This window comes from Homo sapiens, chromosome 2 (assembly GCF_000001405.40).
Source record: "Homo sapiens chromosome 2, GRCh38.p14 Primary Assembly".
Classification (NCBI taxonomy): domain Eukaryota; kingdom Metazoa; phylum Chordata; class Mammalia; order Primates; family Hominidae; genus Homo; species Homo sapiens.
In genome coordinates this window covers 218,472,684-218,495,117 of record NC_000002.12, presented here as the reverse complement: position 1 = coordinate 218,495,117, position 22,434 = coordinate 218,472,684, and the positions used below count along the sequence as shown (strand labels likewise).

At 38.8% G+C, this 22,434-nt stretch overlaps 1 protein-coding gene across 1 annotated transcript in view; it reads left to right on the top strand.

Moving 5' to 3' along the window:
• Positions 1-22,434, top strand: part of USP37 (ubiquitin specific peptidase 37) — a 118,101-nt gene that overhangs the window by 73,234 nt on the left and 22,433 nt on the right. The window contains exons 15-20 of the mRNA NM_020935.3: positions 6,697-6,814; positions 9,375-9,454; positions 12,884-13,048; positions 15,403-15,468; positions 18,137-18,278; positions 20,233-20,488. Of these exons, the coding sequence (NP_065986.3) occupies positions 6,697-6,814; positions 9,375-9,454; positions 12,884-13,048; positions 15,403-15,468; positions 18,137-18,278; positions 20,233-20,488 (827 nt within the window). The remainder of the gene's footprint in view (positions 1-6,696; positions 6,815-9,374; positions 9,455-12,883; positions 13,049-15,402; positions 15,469-18,136; positions 18,279-20,232; positions 20,489-22,434) is intronic.

The window sequence follows — 22,434 nt, the reverse complement described above, 5'->3', positions numbered from 1 at the left end:
GAGGAAAATTTAAATACTTTATTATACACTTTAGTATTGCCTAACACTTAATTTTAATCTATAGTTTTATTTTTTTCATTCTACATCTTTTCCATTGTAGAATATCGATTTGTTTGGGAATACTTGTTTTTCTTTGTCACTGAAAAAAAAACACAACTTATTACTTGCTTTTTTGGTTGAACCCCAAATTATTTTTACTAAAAATATTTTCTTTTACAAAATAGATCCGAATTTGAATTATTTTTACCTTTTGCAATGTTTTTCAACCGTATTTACAGTAATTATCCAGACTTTCTACATTAAATTAATTTCCATACTTATCAGGACTTCTATAGCCTGCACATCACTTTAAAATATTTTACTTTGACTAATCTTCCAGTCATCTGTAGTACATCTCTGAATAGATTTTTTTCAGATAAAATGTAATTCTTCACAGTCTCTATATAAGAGAGAATTATTTCTATGACTTTCACACATGACTTAATGCAGAATTATTGACTCACACATAGTCTTTACCCATCAGTGTATTAAGTATACCGCCCTATCATATCCTATTACTCTGTGCCACTCATAAGAAACCTGACTTTGTGGGAATTTTTTTCTTTTTCTTCCTGAAAATCTGTGGTATTCTTTATTTTTGAAATTCACAGTTTCACTAGTTTACATCTAGTTATTAACACTTTTTGTTACTTTTGCCTTAATATGGTAGAGCCTTTTCATCTGAAGCTTTGGGATTTTCTCCAGCTCCAGAAAACTATTCTCTAAATACTGCTTCTTTTCCATTCTGGAATTTTCTTCAGAAATATTCATAATCCATATTGGTTCTCCAATTTTCTGTCCTCCATATCTATTTTTCTCAGGCTGCTCAAAATGATAGTGTTCACTGACATCTTTTCCAGCTATAACATTCTAGCATTTTTAACCAGAATTTTAATAAAGACAGTTTTGCATCAGTAGTCTGTGACACTGCTTGCTTTCATTCAGGACTTCATCAGACTTTTCCCCCTGGTGGATAAATGGTTGTCTAAAGAAAATATCCGGATCTTGCAAGTATGGTTCAGCTTATAAAAGCTGGAGAGTCCAACAGCAGTTAATAATATAATAGCCATTTATCTCTTCCTTCTAATGCACCTTCCAGACAAAATTTGTGCAAGTCAAAGTGAGAGGCAAAGTTTTCAGTTATTATTTCATTGAATTATGGGCGTACCATTCAAATTTTTTTTATAGGAAAATTTAAGTTGCCTCAGTTGAAAATGACCACAGGCAGTCCACCAGCTCTGTCAGTCAGGTCTGGGGAGCTGGACAGTGGGATCATTCAGGCAACCCAGAAGAAAGCAGGCCATATCAGGCTGGGCATGGTGGCTCCCGCCTGTAATCCCAGCACTTTGGGAGGTCAAGGTGGGTGGATCACCTGAGGTCAGGAGTTCGAGACCAGCCTGGCCAACATGGTGAAACCCCATCTTCATTAAAAATACAAAAATTAGCCAGGCGTGGTGGTGCACACCTGTAGTCCCAGCTACTAGGGAGGCTGAGGCAGGACAATTGCTTTAACCTGGGAGGAGGTGGTTGTAGTAAGCTGAGATTATGCCATTGCACTCTAGCCTGGGTGACAGAGCAAGACTCCATCTCAAAAAAAGAAAGAAAGAAGGCCATATCAGAGTAGTAGCTTCTACACTGTGCCAGTGGTGTTAGGCACTTTAATTGTACAGCACCCAGATGTTGGATATGCAGTTGAGGTATGTGCATCAATGCAATAAATGGCATGGGTCATGGGATATAGGCACACCAGGTGGCTAGACCGGGCAGGTTGTGCCAGCTGGGTGGGGATAGGGTTCTGTTGCTTCATTAGTAATTTTATTTAGGACAGTTCTCTAACACAAAGTAGTTTCTGGCTGAAGGAAGATTCCACACACATTACCCTTTGGATTGTAATTTTGTGTGTTTATCCTCTGCCCCATCTTGCTATAGGTTTGTTTGGCCAGTTTGGCAAATGTACTTTTTTTAAAAAAAACCATTACAGTTTAAACTGACTGCTTTTTAATTAATATAAGGCAATTCAGTGTATTAATAATATATTCTTGAATATGAGGGAAAAAAATTTTTTTTTTTTTAAGACAGAGTCTTGCTCTGTCACCCAGGCTGGAGTGCAGTGGTGCAGTCATAGCTTACTATAGCCTGCTAACTCCTGAACTTAAGCAATCCTTCCCACCTCAGCATCTAGAGTAGCCAGGACTACGAGCACATGCCACCACACCCAGCTAATTTTTAAATTTTTTCTAGAGACGGGCTCTCACTGTGTTGCCCAGTCTAGTCTTGAACTGGCCTCAAGCAACCCTCCCACCTTGGCCTCCCAAATTGCTGGAGTTTACAGGCGTAAGCCACTGTGCCCAGCTTTGTATTTCTTTTTCTCAAACCTGACATCTCATATGTCTGCAAGTCCTTTCAGCTCTACCTTGGAAATACATCCAGAATGTGACCTCTTTTTACCACTTTCATTGCCACTACCCTACACCAAGCCACTATCATCTCTTGTTTGAATTGTTGCAGCATCTTTTAAATTAGTTACCATGTTTCTGCAGTCTGTTTTAAACACATAAGCCAAAGCAATCCATTTAAAATGGAAGTTAGTTCATGTCAACCTTCTGCTTATAAAATTTAAAAGCCTGTGACTTGTATAACCTCATGTAATCTGCCTCTCAGCACTCCTACCCCCATCTCTCTTAACTCTCTGTCTTCATCTTCTGTCACACTTTTCCCTTGCTCATTCTATTTTAACGAAATGAGCTTCCTTGCTTTTGTTCAAAAACACCAGGATCATAGTGCCTTAGAGTCTTTGCACTTACCATTTCCTCTATTTTGAATTCTCTTTCCCAAAATTCTCTTATTTTTATTTTTATTTAATTGCTGATTTGTTTCTGAGACAGGGTGTTGCTTTGTCACCCAGGCTAGAGTGCAGTGGCTTAATCACAGCTCACTGCAGCCTCAACTTCCCTGGCTCAAGCAATCCTCCCGCCGCAGCCTCCCGAATAGCTGGGACTACAGGTGCACACCACCATGCCTGGCTAATTTTTTTGATTTTTTGTAGAGATTGGGTTTTCCAATGTTGCCTAGGCTGGTCTGACACTTGTGGGCTCAAGCCAACTTCCCACTTCAGCTTCCCAAAATGCTGGGATTACAGGCACTAGCCCCCACACCTGGCCCCCATATTCTCATTTAGATAGTGCCCTCACTTTTCCAGATCTTTACATAAAGGCCATTTGTTCAGTGATGTGTTTTCTTGCCATGCTATCAGATACTCTGCTCTGATCTTTCATTTCCCTCTTCCCTACTATGTATTTCCTCTTTACATATATCACTATCTAACATACTGTATGTTTTACTAGTGTCGATTTCATTGTCTCTCCCAGTATAATGATGGCTTCATGAGAGGAGGTATTTTTGCCTTGGTTTATTCACTGCTATCACCCCAGTGCCTAGAACATTTTCTGGCATGTAGGAGGCCCTATTAGGTTTTCAGTGCTGTGTAAGAAATTGCTTCAAACATATTAGCTTAAAACAACACCCATTTATTCATCCCAGCTCTGTAGGTCAGAAAACTAAGCACAGTATGGCTAAGTTCTCAGCTCAGAGTATCATAAGGCTGAAATAAAGGTATTACTGCCTGTGCTCTCATCTGGAGCCCAGGTTCCTCTTCTATCTCATTAAGGTCGTGGGTAGAATTCAGATCCTATGGTTATAGGACTGAGATCCTCATTTTCTTGCTAGCTGTCCACTGGAACCACTCATTTCCTAAAGGCTGCCTATAGATCCTTGCCACATGGCCCCCTCATAGGCACTTCACAACAGTGCTGTTTGCTTTTTTCCAGGCTAGTAGGAAGTATACATCTTGCTTACTTCAGACTTCTCTTTTTATCCTCTAGACCCAGATTTAAAGGGCTCATATGGGCAGAGCATGGTGGCTCATGCCTGTAATCCCAGCACTTTGGGAGGCTGAGGCAAGAGGATCACTTGAATCTAGGTGTTTGAGACCAGCCCTGACAACATAGCGATACCCTCTTCTCTACAAAAAGTTTAAAAATAGCCAGACATGGTGGTGCACACCTGTAGTCCCAGCTATTTGGGAGGCTAAGGTGGGAGGATTGCTTGAGCCTGGGAGGTCGAGGCTGTAGTGAGCCGTGGTCGGGCCACTGCTCTCCAGCCTGGACAACAGAGCAAGAGCCTGTCTCAAAAACAAACAGAAGGGCTCATATGATTGGATCTGACCCATTCAGATAATCTCCTTTTTGATTCATTCGAAGTTAAGATTAGTAACCTTAATTATGTCTGCAAAATTCCTTTGGGCCAGGTAAAATAACATCATCATAGGCGTGACAGCTCATCATTATCACAGGTTGGTTCTACCCACACTCAAAGGGGACAGAAATATACAAAGTCGAGGGTCACCTTAGAATTCTGCCTGTTAGAGAGGCACTCAGTAAATGTTCGTTGAATCAAAGACAAATATACTCTTATGTTTTTCAGTCTTTAGCTGTAACAGTAGGGAATTAGGGTAGAAATATGAATATTACCTAAAGTACTGATAAGACAAAATGAAAAACGGTCAGCTAAAGCTATTTAAAAGAAATTTGCCTCTAGGTAAATTGAATATGGTGTTTTAATCTCTGAGCTCACGTTTTAAAATTCTATAAAAAATATATTTGATAACTAAATCATTCTGCTGCCTAATAGAAGTATCCACATATGCACATAAAGAACATGTAGATTATTTATTTATTTAGAGTTGGAGTCTCACTCTGTTTCCCAGGCTGGAGTGCAGTAGTGCGATCTCGGCTCACTTCAAGTTCAGCCTCCTGAGTTCACACCATTCTCCTGCCTCAGCCTCCGGACTACAGGTGCCTGCCACCACACCTGGCTAATTTTTTGTATTTTTAGTAGAGACGGGGTTTCACCGTGTTAGCCAGGATGGTCTTGATTTCCTGATCTCGTGATCCGCCCACCTCGGCCTCCCAAAGTGCTGGGATTACAGGCGTGAGCCATTGTGCCTGGCCAAACATGTAGAATTTTTAAAGCAGCATTACTTATATAGCCAACAACTGGAAACAACCTAAATGCTCATCAGTACTAACATGGATAATTGTAGAATATTCATACAGATTAAAGCTATACAACAACGAAAATGCAGTAGAGTCATGCGCAGCAGGCATAGTTAAATATTACAATCATGCTGAACAAAAGAGGGGCCAACTAAAAGAAAACATATTGCATAATCCCATTATAAAAGGTTCAAAAACAGGCAGAACATCTATAGTGTTGGAAGTCAGAATAATAATTGTCTTTTGGGACCAGGTGTGGTGGCTGGTGCCTGTAATCCCAGCATTTTGGGAGGCCGAGGCAGGTGGATCACGAGGTCAGGAGTTCCAGACTGGCCTGGCTAACATGATGAAACCCCATCTCTACTAAAATAGTAAAAATTAGCCAGGCGTGGTGGTGTGCACCTGTAATCCCAGCTACTTGGGAGGCTGAGGTAGCAATTGCTTGAAACGGGGAGGCAGAGGTTGCAGTGAGCTGAGATCGTGCCATTGCACTCCAGCTTGGGCAACAAAAGCAGAACTCCGCCTCAAAAAAATAAAAAATAGTTATTTTGGGGGAGAAGGAAGGAGGGTAGTGATTGGAAAAGGATATGTGCAAGGGGGCTTCTAGGGAGTTGATGGTGTTGTTCTGTTTCTTTCTTTTTTTGTTGTTTTTCTTTTTTTTTTTTTTGAGACAGAGTCTCTCTCTGTCGCCCAGGCTGGAGTGCAGTGGCGTGATCTCAGCTCACTGCAACCTCCGCCTCCTGGGTTCAAGTGATTCTCCTGCCTCAGCCTCCCAAGTAGCTGGGATTACAGGCACGCGCCACCTCGCCTGGCTAATTTTTGTATTTTTTGTAGAGACAAGGTTTCACCATGTTGGCCAGGCTGGTCTCGAACTCCTGACCTCAGGTAATCCACCCACCTTGGCCTCCCAAAGTGCTGGGATTACAGGCACCAGCCACCACACCTGGCCCTGTTTCTTGATTTGAGTGGTAATGAATGTGTTAACTGATAATTTATCAAGCTGTATACCTGCGACAGGTTCACTTTTGTATGTTATGTTATACTTTAGTTTTTTAAAGTTTGGGGGTTGCTTATATAAAGTTTAAAAATTGGCCGGGCGTGGTGGCTCACGCCTGTAATCCCAGTACTTTGGGAGGCTAAGGCAGGAGAATCACCTGAGATCGGGAGTTCGAGACCAGCCTAACCAACATGGAGAAACCCCGTCTCTACTAAAAATACAAAATTAGCCGGGCATGGTGGCGCATGCCTGTAATCCCAGCTACTTGCGAGCCTGAGGCAGGAGAATCGCTTGAACCCGGGAGGCGGAGGTTGCAGTGAGCCGAGATCGCACCATTGTACTCCAGCCTGGGTGACAAGAGCGAAACTGCATCTCACAAAAAAAAGATTTAAGTAAAGTACTTAAATACTTGCAATTGAGGTTTTATCTGTATTAATTTAATAAGGGTTAAAGTAAGCATGAAAAAGTCTTAAATGTATATAGTTCTTATGCCTGGTGATAGTGTGTCAGTACCATAAGTTCTGTGGAAGAACAGAGTTTCTCAGGTATATTTGTGTTTCTTGTGTATTGGTCTAAATGCTTACATGTCTCATTTTATTCTTACAGATGTGGAGAGATTATCCCCAAAAGAGAACAGTTTAATGACCTCTCTATTGACCTTCCTCGTAGGAAAAAACCACTCCCTCCTCGTTCAATTCAAGATTCTCTTGATCTTTTCTTTAGGGTAAATAATATCTTTTGTATTTTCACATAACTAAATTTTATATCATTGATAGTTGTATTTGAATATTTGAAGTTGGTTTCTTCAAGGCAAAGTTTCTTTTCTTTTCTTTTTTTTTTTTTTTTTTTTTTGAGACAGGGTCTCACTTTGTCACCCTGGCTATAGTGCAGTTGCACAATCTCAGCTCACTGCAACCTCTGCCCCCAGTTTCAAGCGGTCCTCCCACCTCAGCCTCCCCAAGTAGCTGGATCATGCCACCATGTCTGGTGAATTTTTGTACTTTTTGGTAGAGTCGTGGTTTCATCATGTTGGCCAGGCTGGTCTCGAACTCCTGACCTTAAGTGATCTGCCCACCTTGGCCTCCCAAAGTCCTGGGATTACAGGTGTGAGCCACCACACCTGGTTTTGGCAGAGTTTCAACAACATTATTCGTGGGGAAAACAGATGAGAAGTTTTTGTAAATTATTATTATTTTTAAAAGCTTGATAAATCTAATTATAACTCATTGAAAAAGAAAATTAATTGCTTAAATAGATTATAAATTTAACTCAATAGCAAGCATTTAGACAATCTTAGAAATAGTTTGTTGGCCAGGCGCAGTGGCTCACACCTGTAATCCCAGCACTTTGGGAGGCCAAGGCAGGCGGTTCACAAGGTCAAGAGATCAAGATCATCCTGGCCAACATGGTGAAACCCGGTCTCTACTAAAAATACAAAAAATAGCTGGGCATGGTGGCGTGTGCCTGTAGTCCCAGCTAATCAGGAGGCTGAGGCAGGAAAATCACTTGAACCTGGGAGTGGGAGGTTGCAGTGAGCCAAGATCACGCCACTGCACTCCAGCCTGGCGACAGAACGAGACTCCGTCTCAAAAAAAAAAAGTAGTTTGTTATTTGTAAACAAATATTAAAGTATTTGAAGTAACATATTCTAAAATTTGGTAACATGAAATTAAAACTGTAGATATCACGTAAGTTGGTATCCTAAGATCTGCAGAATAAGAAAATATTCTTTGCTCTTTCTTAGGTTGTACGTACCCTATTAGAAACAGGAAGAAAGAATCATGTTTATCCAAAGCTGTAGATACATATTTGTGTCTGTGATATACCGTTACAGATATTGAGAAAGTTTCTGGGGCATAATCAGACTGTTGTTATAGCAGTCCTTATAAACTAGTGGAAATTTGCAAGAATCGATTCCCCCTTGATCTGTCTAGTAGCGGTCCTTGTTGTGTTGTAGCAAATTGGCAGGATTGTCTTCCTAAGGTATAAAAAATAAAAATAAGGCCGGGCACGGTGGCTAACGCCTGTAATCCCAGCACTTTGGGAGGCTGAGGTGGGAGGATCACGAGGTCAGGAGATCGAGACCATCCTGGCTAACACGGTGAAACCCTGTCTCTACTAGAAATACAAAAAAATTAGCTGGGCGTGGTGGCGGGCGCCTGTAGTCCCAGCTACTCGGGAGGCTGAGGCAGGAGAATGGCGTGAACCTGGGAGGTGGAGCTTGAAGTGAGCCGAGATCGCGCCACTGCACTCCAGCCTGGGCGACAGAGCAAGACTCTGTCTCAAAAAAATAAAAAAAATAAAAAATCTGGCTGGGTGTGGTGGCTCCCACCTGTAATCCCAAGGTGAGGCCAAGGGAGGCCAATCACCTGAAGTCAGGAGTTCAATACCAGCCTGGCCAACACGGCAAAACCCTGCTTCTACTAAAAATGCAAAAGTTGGCCAGGTATGGTGGCACATGCCTGTAGTCCCAGCTACTTGGCAAGCTGAGGCACGAGAATCACTTGAACCCTGGAGGTGGAGGTTGCAGTGAGCTGAGATCACGCCCCTCCCTCCCACCCAGTTGCCTGGGTGACAGAGCAAGGCTCTGTGTCAAAACAAACAGACAAAAAAATCTGTTTATTAAATGGTGAACGTTGAGCTCTACCCAAAGATAAATACTCTGCTTTTCTTTTAGTCATTTTTAAACTATTCTTGTTATTATCATAGACTTTGAAGATTTTCCTATGTATTTTTACCCCCATTTTTTAAGGATTTCTTGTTTCAGTGTTCTCTAGGTAATGGTATTCACCCCAACTTTTCATCCTTTTAAAGCAGTTGTTCTTAGTGGGCTGTCACGAGAAGATTGAGTTCCATTATGCGAAAGGGGTAGCGTTACACCTAACAGACAAGAAATTCTACCTAACCTAAAGGTGATCTTATCTCTGCTATGGCCATATGGTAAAATCTGGATATACTCTTGGTAGTGGTTCATATGTGTCCATGGGGAAAAGGCTGAAAAGGCTAAGAATCTTCTATTTTAGAGTCTAGTTACTATCATAAATTTAGATATATTCTTGGTGAAAAAGGAAATTAGAAGTTCTGAAATGGGGCATGATATTATAGGTATATTTTGAGGATTGGGTCTTAATTTGGTAAGGCTCATGGCTCTAGACACAGAATTTTTAAAACTGGTTCAGAGTTGTCATTCCACTAATGGAACTAATAAGACTAGAGCAAATTATTTGCATTTAAGATACTAATGCTGATTCACCTTCATGCTTTATTTTTCCTTCTTTTTATAGGCCGAAGAACTGGAGTATTCTTGTGAGAAGTGTGGTGGGAAGTGTGCTCTTGTCAGGCACAAATTTAACAGGCTTCCTAGGTAATTTTTTTTTTTTTTTTTTTTTTTTGCTATGGACTAAAGAATTCCCAGGTACATTTAATTGCTTTTCAATTTTTCTTTTTAAAGTTCATACAAATATTACTGAATAAATGAAGGTTACCAGAATGGATTGGTAAAGAGGGTCAGGAAAGCTGAAATGTGCAGAGTGTAAGAGGGCAGAGAGCTAGAATGCTTTTGCATAAGAAAGGTGACCAGGTGTGATAGCTCACGCCTGTAATCCTAGCACTTTGGGAGGCTGAGGTAGGAGGATCACTTGAGTCCAGGAGTTCAAGACCAGCCTGGGTAACGTAGGGAAACCCCATCTCTACAAAAGAAAGAAATATATATTTAAAGGAAGGAAGGAAAAGCGTTTGAAATATTGAAGAGAAAAAGGGTCTTGAGAGTTCCAAGAAAATGGCAACAGAGGATACAGCTGCTGAGACTTTGGAATAATTATAAGAACTAGCTAGTCAATTTTTAATTCAGTAATGTGTAATATTCAGTTATATTTTGTTGCCCTGTGTTGTGCTGTAGTCTTTTTCTGTTATCCCATACTTTCAGTAAAAACCTGCTATAGACACATACACACATGTATATAAGAATAAAACAGGGAGTAATTTTTTGCAGTTTGTGCGTTCCTTCATTCTAAGGATCTTATAAATTAGTAAATTTCCTGTAATCATAAGATAAATTTTCTGATATAGGAATGAAATTAACTTATATTGTATCTGCTCTGTATAAACATAAAACTGAAGTAGTTACAAAAAATTATTATGTGGTTACAGGACAGCTTTTAGTTCTTTCCAAGAATAGATCGCAAACACCAAGGTTGTTATTAACATTAAGTATTTATGTAGCACTTTGCCTACAGAGTGCTTTACTTTCTTTTATTAGCTTCAATATTCTGTCAGTAAGTGTGGAATTTCTGGAACCTAGCCCCTAGAGACTAGTTCTTTTACATTTCATAATCTACTCCTTTCTAGAAAATGGGAGTTGGTTTTTTTTTTTGGTTGTTTGTTGTTGTTGTTGTTGTTGTTGTTTTGATACAGAGTCTTGCTCTGTCCCCCAGGCTAGAGTGCAGTGGCACGATCTCAGCTCACCGCAACCTCTGCCTCACGGGTTCAAGCGATTCTCCTGCCTCAGCCTCCCGAGTAGCTGGGATTACAGCTGTATGCCACCACACCTGGCTAATTTTTGTATTTTTAGTAGAGACGGGGTTTTGCCATGTTGACCAGGTTGGTCTTGAACTCCTGACCTCAGGTGATCCACCTGCCTTGGCCTCCCAAAGTGCTGGGATTATAGGCATAAGCCACCGCGCCGGGCCAAGGAAGTTGGTTTTAAAGAAATGACTTTATAAAGGCTGGGTGTGGTGGTTCACGCCTGTAATCTCAACATTTTGAGAAGCCAAGGTGGAAGGTTTGCTTGAGACCAAGAGTTCAAGACCAGCCTGGGCAACATGGTGAGACCCCCATCTCTACAAAAAATGTTGTGTTTTTTGTTTTTTTCAAACAGAGTCTCGTTCTGTTGCCCAGGCTGGAATGCGGTGGCATGATCTCGGCTCACTGCAACCCCCGCCTCCTGGGTTCAAGCGATTCTCCTGCCTCAGCCTCCTGAGTAGCTGGGATTACAGGAACGCGCCACCACGCCTGGCTAATTTTTGTGTTTTTGGTAGAGACAGGGTCGCGCCGTGTTGGCCAGGCTGGTCTCAAACTCCTGACCTCAGGTGATGTGGCCGCCTCGGCCTCCTCAAGTGTATAAATCATAGCAGTATTATTATATTGACTTAAGAGACTTATATTTTTGGATTAAGAGAATTTGTTCTTTCCTGTTTGTGAGTGGTTTGAGGCCAGGAAGGTGGGAGGAAGAATCTTAAGGCAAAGAATTGGTTGTTACCAGCTGTCACTAAGGAAATTATGTGTACAGTTAAAAAGACTAGTTTTGACCTCACATGCTGGATGTCTTTTCTCTTTCCCATTCTCTTGCTATTTGGTTTTTCAAGTGGGGGGAAAAAAATGCTAAGGGGAATTTTTCTCCTTGTTTTTCTTTCTTTTTTTTCTTTTTTTTTTTTTTCCTGGTAGATCACTTGTGTTAAAGGTTAATTTATTCCAGACTTATGTGATAGAAGCTTCTGTTTGTCAAATCCTAATATTAGTTTTGTTCTACTTTTGTTCAATTTAATATTCAAAGCCACTCTTTAAATCCTAATGATTAGTCTTGTTCTACTTTTGTTCAGTTTAATATTCAAAGCCACTCTTATTCTTGAAGAGCCTGATGCCATTATCAAATCTGTTCACAAAGTTGGGCCTCATCTTTGAAGATCAGTGATTTTGACTATCATTTTCCTGTTTTATATTACCTTCCCCCCCACCTTTTACTGCTCCATGCATAGCAGGGCTACACTATAGGCAGTGTGTCCAGAGTAGCCTCATATTACCTTTTATTTTGGTTAGGTTATTTGAAATTCTAGTTAAAATATTTAATTTTGACATTGGTTTCATATCAGTTGTGTCCTTGTATTCTCTCAAATTGTATATTTGAAGATCCTGAGTTCTAGCACGCTTTTTAAAGAGAACTACAATCTATAACTTCAGTTTGCAAATTTTTGTTTGTGGCTTCTGTGATGAAGGCATATATGGTAAGAATCAGTTTTTTATAGATCATTTTTGTGTGTGTGCCTAGAACTGAAGTTTATTCCCATAAGATGTTTGAAATTCAATTTTTAAAGTGTTCTTGTGGGTTGAGAAATATATTTAATCCATCAAGCAGAGATCGTGTTCTGTGTGAGAAGTGAAAAGGTTACCACAATTTTAACCACAAAGAATTCAGTGCTTCTAAAGAGCTAAAAGCCTTTACAGACCCACAGATCAGATTTGGCATGCAAATTTTTGTAAAGCTTTTTTCTAAATGGGGAAAAGTTTTGTATTTCCTCCTTAGCTTTCTACAGAGAAAGTACTTCTGAAAATAAAAGAATAATTCTCATCAAAAATCATCTTGAAGTAATTAATGTTTACCATCAAATATAAGAGCTATGTAACATTTTAATAGACATTATTTTACTAGTAGTGGTTATATAAAACCTATTGCTTTTTAAACTATGTAACAGTGAAGTAAATAATTTAAGGATTTAACCCAATATCAGTGCCAAATTTAACATTCTTGTCTGCTATATTTTATTTATTTGTGTTTTTTCTAGGAACATTATAAGTATTTTACCCAAACCACACTAATCCACCATTATTTGTATGCTTTTTACCTAGCCCAATGCCTGGCACTAACAGGTATTCAGTAAATATTCTTTGACGTGTCTTTGGTTTGGCCAAATGGATTTTTTAAATCAAAAGTCGTCTAACATAGAGTGATCTCTTTTACTGTAAGAAAGATACATGTATTATGTATGAATTAGTAAGGTTGTCATCTCCTGTTTTTCAGGGTCCTCATTCTCCATTTGAAACGATATAGCTTCAATGTGGCTCTCTCGCTTAACAATAAGATTGGGCAGCAAGTCATCATTCCAAGATACCTGACCCTGTCATCTCATTGCACTGAAAATACAAAACCACCTTTTACCCTTGGTTGGAGTGCACATATGGCAATGTAAGTCCTTGAGAGACTATGTCTTTATATTCCCTTTTGAAATAGAAAGGCTTTAGTATCTAATCAAAAGAATGACTGAATTACATAATATGACTCCAAGGTAAAATCAGATCAATGGCCAGATGCAGTGGCTCATGCCTGTAATCCCAGCACTTTGGGAGGCTGAGGCAGGAGAATCGCTTGAGCCTAGGAGTTTGAAACCACCTATGGCAACAGAGCATGACCTCATCTCTACAAAAAATAAAATAATAAAGCCAGCATGGTGGCACACACCTGTAGTGCCAGCTACTCGAGGCTGAGGTGGGAGGATTGCTGGAGCCTGGGAGATGAAGGCTGCAGTGAATGGTGATCAGAGCAAGACCCTATCTCAAAAAAAAAAAAAAAAAGAAAAGAAAAGAAAAGAAATCAGACCAAGAAGGAGATTTTAATTTTGCTTTACTTTGTTTTAGTGTTAAATCACTGCCTGAAGTAATTGAAGAAAATGCTTAAAATTTTTCCAAAGTTATTAGTTGCTTTTCATAGTGAGGTGCTTTTTTAGGAAGTGCTCTTGGTTAGAGTGCTAGAAGACAGTTTGATATACTTCTTGAATATGAGTCAAACTTAGGTGATAATAAGAGTCACCTAGACACTAAAAATACTGATTTTTGTGTTTTTTCCCTGGAAGTTCTGTTTCAGTAGGTCTGAGATAGGCGCTTAGGAATCAATATTTTTAGCAAATGCTTCAGTTGACTCTTCAGGACATGCAGATGTGAGAAACCCTATACTCAATGTTATGCCTTCATGCATATATTATCAGCAGTGTAAAGAACTTAAATGGCTCCTGAAATTTCTCAAGAAAAAAAGAAGTAATCTTTACTTTAGGTTTTTGCTTCATCATGTATGCTGGGAAAACCTTCGGACTTCTTTGAGTGTTCCCCTTTTTTCTACATACTTGCATTACTTTGAAGCCATATGTTATGTCATTCTTTTCTATACTTGAACACTAGTTTGGTAGAATAATAAAATTGTAGAACTTTGAAGATGGAAGAGATTTTAGAGGTTTTTGTCCAAACCCTTAAGAGGACCAAGGAAATTAAATGATTTTCCTAAAGTCATACAGTTAGTGTCTGAAAGAGCCACGTCTCATAGAAGTTTACACTAGTGTCTCAAGGGTCTACTAATAAAGGCATGTGCCCAGAGAGTCTAAGTGTTTCTGGTTTTTTCCTCTCACAGCTTTTCACGTTTTTGCTTGGTGCATACTACCTTCTGCTGGTAGAGCTATTACTCTTGCTGGCAGTAGTACTATGTCACACTAATAGTGTATGATCACAGGCCTGAAGCCAAGCTATCTGACTGTACAATTTGATAGCTTTTAGACCTTGCACAGATTCCTTGACTTGTCTATAAGAAAAACAATAGGATGGTTGTGAACATTAAATGAGGTAATAATATGTAGAGTTCTTAGCACAGTGTCTGACATCCAGTAAATCCTCCATAAATGAGAGCTATTACTTTAAAAGAACTGAGACAAGGTAATTTTCTCCAAGTTATTTTTTTCATATGTATTACACTTGACTTCATTTCCAGTGCTGTCTATGTAGATTATTGGATCAAGGAGAGCCTAGAGATGGTATTTTATTTTCTCTTTTGGCCTCTATTGCTAGTATTTTTTTTTTTTTTTTTTTTTTTTTTGAGACGGAGTCTCGCTCTGTCGCCCAGGCTGGAGTGCAGTGGCGCATCTCCGCTTACTGCAAGCTGCGCCTCCCGGCTTCACGCCATTCTCCTGCGTCAGCCTCCCGCGTAGCTGGGACTACAGGCGCCTGCCACCATGCCCGGCTGATTTTTTGTATTTTTTTAGTAGAAACGGGTTTTCACTATGTTAGCCAGGATGGTCTCGATCTCCTGACCTCATGAGCCACCATGCCCGGCCATTTTTTTTTTTTTTGAGATGGAGTCTCACTCCGTTGCCCAAGCTGGAGTGCAGTGGTGCGATCACCACTTACTACAACCTCCGCCTCCCAGGTTCAAGCAATTCTCATGCCTCAGCCTCCCGAGTAGCTGGGATTACAAGCACCCGCCGCCAAACCCAGCTAATTTTTGTATTTTTAGTAGAGACAGGGTTTCACCATGTTGGCCAGGCTGGACTTGAACTCCTGACCTCAGGTGATTCGCCCACTTAGCTTCCCAAAGTGCTGGGATTACAGGCGTGAACCACTGCACCTGGCCTATTGCTAGTAATTTAAAAAGTATTATAATTGTTCAATTTTCAAGAGGACATAAAAGGAATTATAGTAAGAATAATTCATTTTATAATTTAAATATATATCTTTAATAATTCATTTGTATACATTATATATTTTCTAATTTTCTGATAGTTCTAGACCATTGAAAGCCTCTCAAATGGTGAATTCCTGCATCACCAGCCCTTCTACACCTTCAAAGTGAGTTATATTTCTTATGTACCCAAAATCTGTGTTTAAGGTTTTGGCTTACCCTAATCTCCAAGATTGCCTCCCTGCCTTTTCATTATTGTTTTTCTTTTTGCATGATAATGCTCTTTATTACCTATACTTTTGAAACTTTCCTGAATTTGGTTTAGAATATATTGAAGGATATAACAAATTTTAATCAGTGACACAAGGTTAGCTCATCCTCTCAATATTCTGTCTTAAAACTTTTAAAAACTTATTATTGTTAATATGTAATACTTTCATCCTAAAACTCTAAAAATTAACTGAGGACAAGGGAGTCTAGGGATTTAAGGGATAAAATAACCCCTATTAGTCTAAAGCACTCTTCCTTAAAGATAGGCATGGAATCCCAAAACATTTTTTACCTGTTGTTAGCCAGTCTGGAACTTCTTGTCTTTGACACCGAATAGGAGTTGTTTTGAAAGGGGACAGGAAAACAAGCAAGCATTCTACAAATGCCCTATTTTTTTGTTTAAGACCAAACTTTATCCAAGGAGGGAAGCACATGCCTTTTTTGTTTGCTTTTTAAATATATTTCCTCTAAGATTTTACTAGAGGAGTTCCTGATTAGATCATTTCAATTGATTTAGTTGTCGTTTGACTTTTTAATTAATTTTTCTAAAAATTTGATGGCCCAAAGTACTTTTAGAGAAGAGACATTTTTGTTGTTTAAGGGCTTTTGGGGGGCTTATATAACCATAAAATGACATTTGGGAACTGCTATTTTCTTTTCCTCCTGTTAATTATTTTTCAGTGCAATTAAAACCAGATGACTAACATGACTAGAAATCTGAAATGGTACCGATATGAATACTCTTGCCCGTTCTCAAGATACAAATGAGCAATACCACTTGGCTGCTTAGAAAGTGAGCAAGTGATGCATTTACAGGATGAATATTTTTCATTGCTACAGGCAAGCTGCCTTCTGTAAATATAGTAATCATTAATGGAATGCACTCTATGTACCAAGTCACTGTAGTTTCAAGAAAGAAATGATTTCATTGGGCATCATTGTACCTTGGCATGGTCATCTGTTCTCCAGGGTCTGCTGGTATGAAAATTTGGGAGTTGATCAATAAAGAATGATTAGGCCCTAGAAGACCTGTCATGCCGATCAAACTTAAAAGAGGCTGAGTTATGAACCAGAATACCATTGATTCTTCTACAATGTCCTTTGTCACAAATTTACCCTGGTGCAATGGTAGCCAGGTGTCATCCTCCTTCAGCAAAATATTTATCTGGGTAAACAAATTAATATGTTCAGGTTTGCTTGGTGAGCGTGAAATCTGAATTGAGGAATTAAGATGGCTAATTGGCTATTATACTAAAAACCCTTTTGAGCACATGGGAGGCTTTTCAAGTGTTCAGGTTGGAGTGCAGTGATATCCTGGCTGCTCTGAGCCACACACTATGTTTGGGCTTATCACTGACCACTTGCCTCTTTTCTTTGATCTACATTGCTATGTAATCTTCCTGATTTCCACTCTGGCCTCTTATTTCTTGGTGCCATTAGTCTATATGTTTATTTTCAGTTTTTACATTCAGGTTAATTGTATTTTCTAGTTTTCATTTTATATATATTTTTTGTATTGCATATGAATTTGTGTTAACCTCCATCAAAGAAAGTTCTTGTTCTTTGACCTTTACCACTTTTTTCTTTAGTTTATTTTCGGCTTACCTAGAAGACAACACAGTAACACCTTACTTATCTGGCATCATTAAAGGATTCCACATAAGTGAATTTTTATATAACTGAAGCTTACCTTTTAACGATTTATCTTTTAAAAGATTTTTAACAGTTTGGATGAAAATGTTTCTAAAATATGTTACACTGTTCCTTACATTCTTAAAATAACTAAGGATAATTTAAGTATATCTTAATGACTTAGAATCAGCATTTTAAGTATCAATTATTGCACTGTGTTTCAATATGATATTGCCCTCAGAGGCTCTTAATTATTACAAGATAGTTTGCTTTTACATTAAATGACTTTATAGTTCTTGTTTGCCTTTCTTGTGGTTATTCTTTCTCATTTCTTAGCTCTCATTTCTTGATGAACTTGATACACTATTTTATTCACCATTTCCTGGGAAAGAAAGGGTCCCTCTAAGTACATGGGCTTTGGAACTGCCTTCCTCAGAAGCCTTTTTTCTTACTTTGGAATCCCTATGTTCTGGAAAGTAGAGGTTGCCAGAAGTCTGACCTACAGATAAGTGGATAAGTGGAATGTTACTGTTATTTTTAAAGTGCATGGATCATAATTTAAAAGATCACAAATTAGTCTTCATGCACTTTGTTGTCAAAAACATTTATTCATTGCTATGCCTGCATGAATTCAATAGCATAATTTATAAAGACAATAGCAAATTTCATTGGGGTTGATCATTAAAAGAAAAAAGGCACAACATGATTAGTTTACTGATGATACGTAGTAGCATAAGAGTTGTCCAGTTTTCAAAGCATGGCTCTTTTGGAGTGGGGCAAAGGTAATGCTGAAATATACCTCTTTTGATATATCTTTTTTTTCTGTTAAGTAATTTTCCGTAATGGAAAAGCAATTTGTTTTGATATTTTTACAATAAAAGAATAACAAAGACAAATGTTTATCAGGCTTTTTTTTTTTTCCTTAAATTACAGGAAATTCACCTTCAAATCCAAGAGCTCCTTGGCTTTATGCCTTGATTCAGACAGTGAGGATGAGCTAAAACGTTCTGTGGCCCTCAGCCAGAGACTTTGTGAAATGTTAGGCAACGAACAGCAGCAGGAAGACCTGGAAAAAGTAAGTAATATTTTCTTAAAACATCTGACAAAGATTTGTTTATCTCTTACTGTCCAAACAAATGTCTTTCATAACCATCATCAAACTAATTAGTTTTAAAGAAAATGCCTTCTCTGGCTACAGAAATCAGTCTGTTTACAGATGGATCAAGACTTACGAGAAATTCGTTGTTCTAAACAAATTACTTTCTTTTTTTGCCCTTCAAAGCTACTTTTGCATATTCGTCCTCAAATAATTACTTGCTTTATTTTGGTAGCAGTTTTTTAAGACAGGGTATCGCTCTGTTGCCCAGGCTGGAGTACAGTGGTGTAATCACGGCTCACCACAGCATCGTTCTCCTGGGCTCAAACAATCCTCCTACCTCAGCTCCCCAAGTAGCTGGGACTACAGGCATGTACCACCATGCCTGGCTAGTTTTTAAAATTTTTTGTAGAGACAAGGTCTTACTGTGTGACCTAGGCAGGTCTAAAATTCCTGGGCTCAGGTGATCCTACCACCTCAGCTTCCCTAAGTGCTGGGATTACAGGCATGAGCCACTACTCCCAGCCTGTAGCAATTGTTTATGTGAGGGAACTGTAGTAAACATTTTACATCAACAGAGCAACCAAGTAATCTAATTGTTTAAATTATGGATTTATTAATTGGATTAATATATAGATAATTATATGGATAGTTAATACTTTGAAGATCTAAGCTTTTCTAGGTGTTTGCATTATCTTATGCTACTGTATTTTATTTTAAGCCTCCCTTTTAAATAATAGAATTATTTTAGTAGTTATTTTTGTTCTGTTTCCTATCTTACTTTAAAGCCAGAGGTAGTTTGTGGTTGTTCAACTTGAATGAGAAATGTGTGAAAGTCCAAAATTCTCCCAGAAAACAACTTTTGAATATTTACATAATCTTTTTTTTTTTTTGAGACGGAGTCTCACTCTGTTGCCCAGGCTGGAGTGCAGTGGCACGATCTTGGCTCACTGCAGTCTCTATCCCCCAGGTTCAAGTGATTCTCCTGCCTCAGCCTCCTGAGTAGCTGGGATTACAGACGTACACCACAACATCTCCCTAATTTTTGGGTTTTGGTTTTTTATTTAATTTATTTATTTATTTATTTTTGAGACAGACTCTTGCCCTGTCACCCAGGCTGGAGTGCAGTGGTGTGATCTTAGCTTGCTGCATCCTCCACCTCCCAGGTTCAGGCGATTCTCTGTCTCCCTAGTAGCTGGGACTACAGGTGCGTGCCACCATGCCTGGCTAATTTTTTTGTATTTTTAGTAGAGATGGAGTTTATCCATGTTGGCCAGGCTGATCTCGAACTCCTGGCCTCAAGTGATCTGCTGGCCTCGACCTCCCAAAGTGCTGGGATTACAGGCATGAGCCACCACGCCCAGCCTAATTTTTGTATTTTTAGTAAAGACGGGTTTTCGCCATGTTGGCCAGGCTGGTCTCAAACTCCTGACCTCAGGTGATCCACCGCTGGGATTACAGGCGTGAGCCACCTCGCCCAGCCTTCTTTACATAATCTTGATGTCGTGTTTATTTTTCTCATTTATTGTTAATAAGATCAGCTAACATTTATAATGGTGTAGTAGGCATAATGATAGAATATTTACTGTATAATCTATATATATCTGGAAGAAAATAAATTGAAAATACTTAGAGTAATTATCTCTGAGTAATCTATTTTGAATGAATTTATTTTATTATTTTTATGTATTCTCCAAATTTGTACAAAATATATACTTATTTCAATCAAGAAAAAATAATGTATTCTTATGTATTTATTATTTTTAAAGTTAGACTCACCATTTAGTTTATATATTGGTTATTGATTGTTAAATAACCCAAAGCATCAAAGAAAGGAAACTTTTTAGAAATAAAGTTGCTACTTTAAATACTAATTAAGATTGCTATATTTGTAGGTATTCTGGTTTCTTCTAAAAGTAACTCTCTTCTTCAGGATTCAAAATTATGCCCAATAGAGCCTGACAAGTCTGAATTGGAAAACTCAGGATTTGACAGAATGAGCGAAGAAGAGCTTCTAGCAGCTGTCTTGGAGATAAGTAAGAGAGATGCTTCACCATCTCTGAGTCATGAAGATGATGATAAGCCAACTAGCAGCCCAGATACCGGATTTGCAGAAGATGATATTCAAGAAATGCCAGAAAATCCAGACACTATGGAAACTGAGAAGCCCAAAACAATCACAGAGCTGGGTAGGTTTAATGAAGATTAAACCTCTGTGAAACAAAACATAACTCTTTCAAAGTTTTGTAGTGACAAATAACCTCCAAATAACGGGAGATAAATAGAAAAATTAGCTGAGCATGGTGGTGTGTGACCCTAATCCCAGCTACTCGGGAGGCTGAGGCAGGAGAATTCGCTTGAACCGGGAGGCGGAGGTTGCAGTGAGCCAAGATTGCACCACTGCACTCCAGCCTGGGCGACAGAGTGAGACTCCTTCTCAGATAAAAACAAATAAAGGGAGGTGAAGTGGATCTGTATATAACAGGGTTGATGGCATTTTCATTCTGTATTATAAAAAGCTTTGAAAAATGAGAAGCAAATATTGTGACTAGTACACAGATACTAGTGGTAAAGTATGCCATATCCCTTTAGGTATACATCACTAGTAAAACTAGCCTTCTTATGTGCATTTAATATATGTTTGTGTCAGTTCTGAGGTGCTTTTCTCACCACTGCTATTTCAGAAATTCATATAATTCTTTCATTTTCCTATATCTGAATTTACACCAGGTGTTAGGGTATAAATAATTCAAGTTCTCCATTCCCTGCACAATGCATTGCTTTTTCTATGTTTAGATGTATTTAGATACACAACTACTTACCATTGTGTTACAGTTGCCTACAGTACTCAGTACAGTAACATGCTTTACAGGTTTATAGCCCAGGAGCTATGCCATGTAGCCTAGATGTATAGTCAGCTATACCATCTAGGTTTGTGTTGAATATACTCGAAGATGTTCGCACAAAGACGAAATCACTTAACCATGCAATTTCTTAGAATGTGTCTTCATCATTAAGCAACACATGACTGTACATAAAATGCTATACTATTTTTTTGGTAATTTTTACTCATTTTTTGTTATCTAAAGCTATCAGTGGGAACAACAGAGCTGAGCCATCCTGCCTTGTACTGTGGGTGTTTTGAAATTTTTAGGTAGATAACTTTTACTATCTTTTCCTATGACCAGTTCAAATTTTTCTCTCTTGATAGCCCCAAGATCTAGACAACTATATATTGCTAATGTGTTTCAGGTACACCAGCCATAGGATTTTGGAAATGAAGAGAATACTAGAATATCAGGAAATTATTTTCTACATTCTCATAGTTGGAACCTCTTCAATTATGAATTATTTTGCATGCAAGTAAAATAAGAATTAGTATATCCCCATTTAACTGGAAGCAAAAACGTGATGGTTTTTATACACAGGCATTACTTTTTTCCTTCTTGATACAAGTATCATTATGCAGTCCCCTTACTACATTTATAATCACTGCCCTTAGGTATCCCTGGTTAATATTAGTGCTTTTGTCCCTTCCTGATTTATTTCCTGCTTTCTGCTCTCCTTTTCAGTTCTTTGCCCAGTCCTATAACTTCCTAAAATTAACAAAGGGACAGCTACAGGAAGAGGTAATATGTGGCAATGTCCTATATCATGCACTTCAAGGGAGCTACAGTTTTTATAGCCTGAAAGGAGACAGAGTAGTTGGAAATGGCAGTGGGTAGTAAAGAGGAAACCCACCCTGTCTCCAGGCTCTGGGGTATGGGGAAAAAAACAGCCTGTACTTAAAAGAACACTAGAAAAATCCATAATGGGAGGCTTTAGAAGAAAAACTGGCCCTGACTAAAGACTAAAGAGACCTGACAACCAAATGTAGTGAGTAACCTTAGGAGTCTAGGTTAGAAAAAATTCTACAAAAAATATTTTGGAAACAACTGGAGAAATGAGAATGTGGGCTATATATTGGAATTATAAATAGAATTACTGTTAATATTCTTAGATGTGATAATTGTTATGTAGGAAAATGTGCTTTTAATTAAGAGATTCAGGCTGGGCTGGGTACGGTGGCTCATGCCTGTAATCCCAGCACTTTGGGAGGCTGAGGTGGGTGAATCACCTGAGATCAGGAGGTCAA